General features: G+C 32.8%; 1 annotated feature.

Moving 5' to 3' along the window:
- Positions 1,037 to 1,206: an enhancer, noted in NCBI's record as "experimental_94183 CRE fragment used in MPRA reporter constructs". NCBI's record gives its function as "activates a minimal promoter by MPRAs in K562 erythroleukemia cells, with activity observed for the non-introgressed 6:67850404 variant allele {active_cell/tissue: K562}" and the evidence as "EXISTENCE:reporter gene assay evidence [ECO:0000049][PMID:34662402]".

The following is an 8,169-nucleotide window of genomic DNA, read 5'->3' as shown; positions in this document are numbered from 1 at the left end:
CTTCACATAAAATTAGGAAGCAAACTAAGAAGGACAAAAGCAGGAGATGCAGTGAACAGGGGACCTCAGAACAAAAGAAATACAGACAAGAAAATTCTAGAATTTGGGCCAAGGAAATTTCAGCATAAGAGCTCTGCAGCAGATCTTTAGATTTCATAGCATCAGATCTTTCCAGGAAAGATAACTTTAAAAGGACGAAAAAGTTGTTAAAAAACATGATGCTTTAAAAGTATTGAAGATAAATTTATACAACTGAAGGGAAGTGTTGGAAGTGACTGAATGATAAGTATGTAGAAAACTAAGTAAACACAGACATAAGACAAATATTAACTGAAGCAGCTAAAGAAGCAAGCAAAATTGCTTGAGACAGGAAAAGTAAAATTAGCATATAACGTGACTCAACTCTGTAAACCTTTTCTTAGGAGTGCTCTATTCAAATTTATAATCCGGCAACTTCAGGCTAATGAACGAACAGGAGGTAACATGAGCTTATGGAATTGTGCAGATTTACCATAAGGCTAGTAAAGTTTGCATGAGACCTTAGTCTAATTTGCATGAGACCTTAGTTACGTGTTTATACAGTAAATTTTTTTTGGTAGAATTTGCAAAAGTAAAATATTCTAATTGTAATTTATAAAGAATATAGTTGTTTTTTTTTTCATTTCAATTTGCACTTGGGACAGTTTCTACACCATTCTGATCTCTCCGTTGATGAAGGGAAAGTCTACCTTGGTATTCACCTCCTATCTTACAAATAATATGTTCTTATAGTAATGTAATTCTCATGGAGCTTTCAGATCTGAATTATATGGACAATTTTGCATATGCATATATACAACTAAGAACATAGTTTTGAAACAGTCTTTAATAATTGCTACAGATTCATAGATATTACAAAAACTTTGTAAAAATGAATGTTTTTATCTACATTTTGTATTTTATTCATTAGTATAAAAGAGCCATTCACCACCATCCTTATAAAAATGAGTAAAACATTCATAGTGTTGTCATATCTTCATTGATAAGATAAAAAATGCATGAATGTGTTATGTGGGAAGGACTGGTGGTTGAGTCTAGACCTGATGAATGTGGAAAAAAGAATGAAGTGAACTTCCACAAAACATAGTCTGAATATTGAAGTTGGTTAAATGATGGCTAAAAAATGAGGTCTGTTAAGAGAAATAATTTCCCACACCCACTTTGTATAGAGCTTAATACACCAATATGGAATATTTAAAGGAACCTAAAATTATTTAAAAATATGTACTATAAATACATTATATAGGCCATAAATTTTACTGTTGAAATAATAATATGTGGAGTTTCCCCTTTGTAGATAGGTGATTATTACTGATAAAATATGGGATTTTTATTTCAATTATATATTCTAAATGAATATTTTATGAAAGTTTGCCTAAAGTTACTTTAAACTATTTTTGTCTCAAGTTTAAATCATATCCCTTTCTCTTAGAAATCGTTTCTATTCTGATCCTTCAAAATATTTTCATTCAAAGAGGGAACTCAAGAGTGTATTCTTCTAAAGTCCTGCAAGAAATTTACAAAGACATAGAGAAAGTGCTATCCATCAGCACAACTGGTCTTTATACAATTCTAGTGCCTTTGCATAGGCATTTGTAGCCCCCACCAAAATTGGGTCATTTTGGGACTTCACTAAAGACTCTATTCCAGGGACATGACAATGATTCAGAGAGGTTTTGTCTGTACTTACTTCACTTATAAAAACATATCGGTAAAATAATTCATTTATACCACCTAGTTGCAAAGGAAAACATACCAAAATGGGAAAATATGCTGAGGACAGCAATTGTATTCTCCGTGGAGGGAAAAGCACACCAGGTAAATTTGTGTTTAAAATAGCGAGCCAATTTTAATACTAACTTAAAATTAAGATAAGTGATTGTATGATAGAGTGTAACTCATTGAAAGTATTTTAAAACATAATTTAGAATAAAATGATTTAAATATATATAATACATTATTTATGGAAAATTATAAAATACTATATATTCTGCTAAATTGTTTAAATAATAAAAGACCGATTAGTTTGGACTCTATGCGCTTGTATGCAAAAACCCATTTCCAAAATTTATCTCCTAAAATTTTTCTCAGAGTAGTGAAAGGAGAAAAGCATGAACATTAAAAACAGACAGTCAAGAATTTAAAAACAAGTGCCACCACTTACTTATCTGCTACTTCAGACAATAACATGTAAACTATTTTAAATTTAATTAAGGTTGGTCATCCATAAAATGGTAATACTGTTGAAATTTTTGCATTGAAGTCATCATCAGGATAAAAGTGAGATGATATGAAATCATATGGCAACATCCCTCATTAAAGAATTATAAATAAAAGCTTTCATCATTTAACTAATCTATTAATGATGATAATGATGAAAAGAATGAAATTATAATACCAATAATGGTAATAATATCATTTCTAACATTTCTGAGGTATTACTCTATGACCTGCATTCTTCTAGGTACTTTACAATTGTAGATTACCTAATTTAGTTCCTAAGAAAACCCTTATGATATTGTATCTCCATTTTGTGTGTAAACAGATGTTAAGACACACAAAGGTTTAAAAAATTGCCTCATATTTACAAAATTAGAGTCAGAATTGGAAGAACTGTCTGACAATAGAATTTATGTCAATCTCCAACTCTGAAAAAGCAAGTGTACTATTAGCAGCACTGATTTAATTTAAAATTATGTATTTATTTGTCTTTTTATTTAGCTAGCATATTTTGGTGGGTGAGAGATGGCATGGACTCCAAGCAATCCATTTTTTTTCTAATTCCATGTCTCTAATTAAATGTTGCCCATTAAAAATGTCTATTATTCACTTTTTCTGCCTTCATACAGTATCATTATCTGCTCATTATTTAAAAATAATAATTTTCACATACTTGAATTTTCCTGCATATAGCTAATATTTGAAGAATTAGCATAAACCTAGATATATATTTTATATACATGCATATATGTACATTATATATATACACACACAAGTTCACACAGTATATATTATATATATATCTACATATATTTAATTCACATGAGTATTGTCACAAATGTTAAGCACATCCCCGTAGGTGAAACCATTAGTAAGCATTAGAGCCTGACCTAGAACCTATGTATTCATCATACTTCAAATACTGTGTATTTCTCAACAACCAAAAATGTTTGACTATTAAATCATCTAGAATTAATCTTCAATTTAGAAGTAACTAAAGTTAGTTTTTTTTACCAGATTCTGAATATTTTTCCTAAATATTCTAAAGTGTTTGTGGGAGTTTGGTTAAGTGAGTCGAAATGGTGATTTACATAAAAAATTCTTTTTTAATGAACAATTATATTACAGTTTAAATACTGTATGTGTTACTAAAAATTTTCACATGACACTAAATTTGCATACTGAAAAAATGGTTGGTGCAAAATTTCAGGTGATGCAGAGCAATCTGATTAAAGCTGCCATGGGTTTAAATTTTTAACTTTGTTGATAACTTGTATTATTACTGTGTTAAATAAAACCATTAAAAATTTACTGACATGTAATTGTACTTTGTTACATAGCAAGTCTGATATTTAAAACTAAATTATATTGAAAATCCATTAGGTTATATTTTTAAATAGTATATATATATACACACACACACTATATATATATACACTATTTATAGTGTGTATATGTGTGTATGTATATTTATATATATTTTTATATATTTTTATATATTTATATATGTATTTATATATATATTTATATATATATATATTTTTTTTAAGATGGAGTCTCACTCTTGTCTCCTAGGCTGGAGTTCAATGGCGCGATGTCAGCTCATTGCAATTTCTGACTCCCGTGTTCAAGCGACTCTCCTGCCTCAGCCTCCCGAGTAGCTGGGACTACATGCGCCTGCCAACATGCCCAACTAATTTTTGTATTTTTAGTAGAGATGGGGTTTCATCATGTTGGCCAGGCTCATCTCGAACTCCTTACCTCAGGTGATCCACCCATCTTGGCCACCCAAGGTTTTAGGATTACCACGACTGGCTGGTAGTTTATATTTTAATGTGAGGAAATAAAATGTAAGTTATATTTATAAGAGAAGCTGTACAATTATTTTGCATGCTTCATTGGATTCATAAATGCTACTCTGGGGAGAATAAATCTGGCATATTGAAAATATTTTATGTAGTATATTAATTTTTTCATACGGTTTTCCAATATATTTGAAAATTACTTGGCAAATTATCTTAATTTAGGGATAAAGCATATGTTTTAAATTTTAATTTTCTAGATGACAGGAAACATGTTGAAAGCATTTTACGTTTTATATAGTAGTTTATACTGACAAATCTGTGTACTTAAAAATTTTTTCTGAATATTTCAACAAAAGGCAATATTAACTACAAAAGAAAGAGAAATATATATATCCATATATTTTACATATATAGCTAGTATGTTTTGTTGGGTGGGAAGTGGTGTGAATTCCAAAATATATATATATTTGGAGGGGGGAATATATATATACTTATATGTATACATACATACACATATATACACATATGCACACATACACACATATACACATGCATACATAAACATATAGACATACACACATACACACATATATGTATACACACATACACATGCATTCATACATGTATTCATACACATACATGCATATGTGTATACATACACATATGCATGCATATATGCAAGTACACATATATACACATACACACGTAGACATACATACATATATGTATGCATGCATACACATGTGTGGATGTATGTGTACATGCATATACATGTACATGTATGTCTGTATGCATATGCATATGTGCATGCATGCACACACATATGTAAGCATACATATATGCATGTATGCACTTGCATATGTACATATATGCATGAATATGCATATGTGCGTATATTTATATGTGCATATGTATATGTGCATGTAAGCATGCATATACATTTGTACATGCATGCATGTATGCATATGCATATGTGCATATATTTATATGTGCATATGTATATGTGCATGTAAGCATGCATATACATTTGTACATGCATGCATGTATGCATATGCATATGTGCAAACATGTATGCAAGCATATACATATGTGCATATATGTATACATGCTTACACATATGTTTGGAGGGAAGTATATATATTTTAAAAGAAATATGTGTGTGTGTATATATGTATATATTTGGAAGCTCTGTCATTCAGGCTGCAGGGCAGTGGTGCAGACTTCACTACAGCATGGGACTCCTGGACTCAAGTGATCTCTAGCCTCAACCTTCTGAGTAGCTTGTAGTCAAGCAGCTTGCCTGTAGTCAAGCACCACCATCCCTCATTAATTTTTTTTTTAATTGTCTTTTTTAGAGATGGAGGTCTCATTTTGTAGCCCTAGCTGGTCTAGAATTCTGGTCTCAAGTAATCCCGCTGCCATGACCTCTCAAGTACTGGAATAGGCATGAGCTACATTGCTCAGTCAGGGAAATATATATTTGTTCAAAGAAATTGTTAATAAAGTATCTCAATGTTTTGTACATTTTATATAGATATAGATATATATTATATTAGTATTCTAATGATCATAATTATCTTAACATTAATGTTCCTTTGTGAAAAATTATACTTCATCTTTTTATCTATCAGACACAGCCAGTTCTGAAAGACGTAAATGAATAAAACATTCCAGGTTTTGTGTAACTCACAACCTAGCGAAAGAAGTAAATCTGTAAACACATAATTACAGAATGCTATGATTGCTGTTAGCACAGTGAGATTTATAGAGAATATTCTCTGAGAAAGGGTAAAGGGTAATATGTAAACTAAATCGTAATAACTATTAGGAGACCATCCGTGGAGAAAATTATAAAAAGAAAATTCATTCAAGAAGAAGAGTTTGTACAAATAAATGAACATCAAAGAAAAACAACCTATTAATGTAAAAGTTGAAAACTCAACTTGCTGCTTTTTATTTAGTGAGAATTTTTAATTAGTAGAAAATTTGAGGCTAGAACTATTCTAATGACTGTATACTGTACACACCAAAGTGATACAGATTTTAAGATTGTAATGGTTGGCCAGGCCCGGTGGCTCACGCCTGTAATCCCAACAATTTGGGAGGCCGAGGCTGGTGGATCACGAGGTCAGGAGATCGAGACCATCCTGGCTAACACGGTGAAACTCCGTCTCTACTAAAAATACAAAAAAATAGCTGGGCGTGGTGGCAGTCGCCTGTAGTCCCAGCTACTCGGGAGGACTTCGGAGGCTGAGGCAGGAGAATGGCGTGAACCCAGGAGGCGGAGCTTGCAGTGAGCCGAGATCGCGCCACTGCACTCCAGCCTGGGCGACAGAGTGAGATTCGTCTCAAAAAAAAAAAAAAAAAAAAAAAAGATTGTAATGGTCTTGGATAATACATGTTTTGAAAAGACACTCTTAGTAAAAACGAAGAACTGAAAATAGGGAGAAAACAGGAAATCAGTTGGAATAAAAAATCAATAATTACTTAATAAATATTTTCAACAACACTTGGTGACTAATGGATGCATTAGCTGACAGAAATATTAACCAATTCGTTTCTAAATTTGCTAGCTTAAAATCTCTGGATTAATTGACATGAATTAATCACAAAGCAATTCAGGAGAAAAAAAATTTATTTGAGGGATATTTGATTCTTGTCTGGAGGTGTTTATTTAGAAATTCCTGTTTGACAGACTACAAAATATGTTCAAATGGAAGTTGAAATTAAGTACTGAATTCAGAAGGGCAGCCTATAGAAAAAATAGACATTTGTAGGTAATTAACATTAGGCAGTGGTTGAAATCAAAGAAGAGAGGGGTTTTCCACAATGGGGAAGAATTCTGAAAGACACAATCATGAGGAAGAGTGATGATTTACTGGGTGTGCAGAAGAATAGTGAATTAAAGAAAGCAATGTAATCCAATGGGGAAAGTTTAAAATCAGATTTAAAATGTCAAATTCAGGATAAACCCAAAGAAAAAGAAGATTTCAAAGTATATCTCTTAAATACAGGAGGTGTCTGACTCCAAGCTAAAGTCTTATGTCTGATTTTTCAGGCTTTAACATAGGCAATTACAAACGCCTGTCCTGGCGTGCTTCATGGGGGAAGCTCCACACTCCATTTGGGCACACAGCTAGGACCTTAGAGTCTGTGAAGGAGTTGAGTAAGTACTTAGTCTCTCCATCCCTGCCATTCTCCGAAGTATATCTGTGTTGCTAGCCAAGATGCCTCCATTTGGCTAGTTTGACGCCTTCCTCAGTTACCTCTTCTGAGACCTCATTGTGGGAGAGGCAGGAGTGCTCTGAAGTCTTCTCCACTCTAACTCAGTGCTCAGTACATTTCCACTCCTACCCCCTTTCTCCTCTCCCTGCCCTACTGCCTGTGCAAGAAATGACAGGAGCCTTTGTTCAAGGTCCCCCTGTGGTGAGATGATTTCCCCGTCTGTGTTGATGCACTTTACTGAAACTCAGTATGTTTCCATGGTGTGGAGAGGGGCAGGGGGGAATGGAATATTGTGTCGGTAGTGACTTTCCGGCCTCTTATTCCCACTAATGTAGTTAGTAAGTAAAGCCTTAATTGCTACTTTAATTTTGGCATATTTTAATCAACCATCTTGACCGCTGGAAGCTGAACTCTCTCCAGTTTAGCGTTTGACAATAAATAGGTACAAGAGCAAAGGCCCAGCCTAAATGTGGGGTAGTGGCAAGCTCGGATGCTGGAGCTGATGGTTCCTTGTCTTGGAGACAGTGTGTTTGGAAGAAAATAAATTCAAAAGCTATAAAGTCACGATGGAGAAGTTTCAATCCAGTAAAAGCCAAGAGGTTGACACAGAATAAAGTTTCAATAGAGGTAGTTATTATTTCCTGCTCTATTAGGAGGGGCTTAATACGAACATAAAAGCTGTACATTAACATTTCTTTTGCCTTCCATAACCCTATAACTTTCTATAACAACAGATTTCAAAATGAATTATTTTGTAGATAATCTCCATCTAATGAAGAAGGAATGGTTTGCCAAGGCTTTTACTATATAGATTCCAAGTAAAATGTGTTTTATGTGAATAGGGCACTTTTTAATATTAATTTCATTTTCTAATATATGT

The sequence above is a fragment of the Homo sapiens genome, chromosome 6 (genome assembly GCF_000001405.40).
Source record: "Homo sapiens chromosome 6, GRCh38.p14 Primary Assembly".
Lineage (NCBI taxonomy): Eukaryota > Metazoa > Chordata > Mammalia > Primates > Hominidae > Homo > Homo sapiens.
Note: the sequence above shows the minus strand (reverse complement) of the source record. Positions and strands in the feature narration are given on the sequence as shown.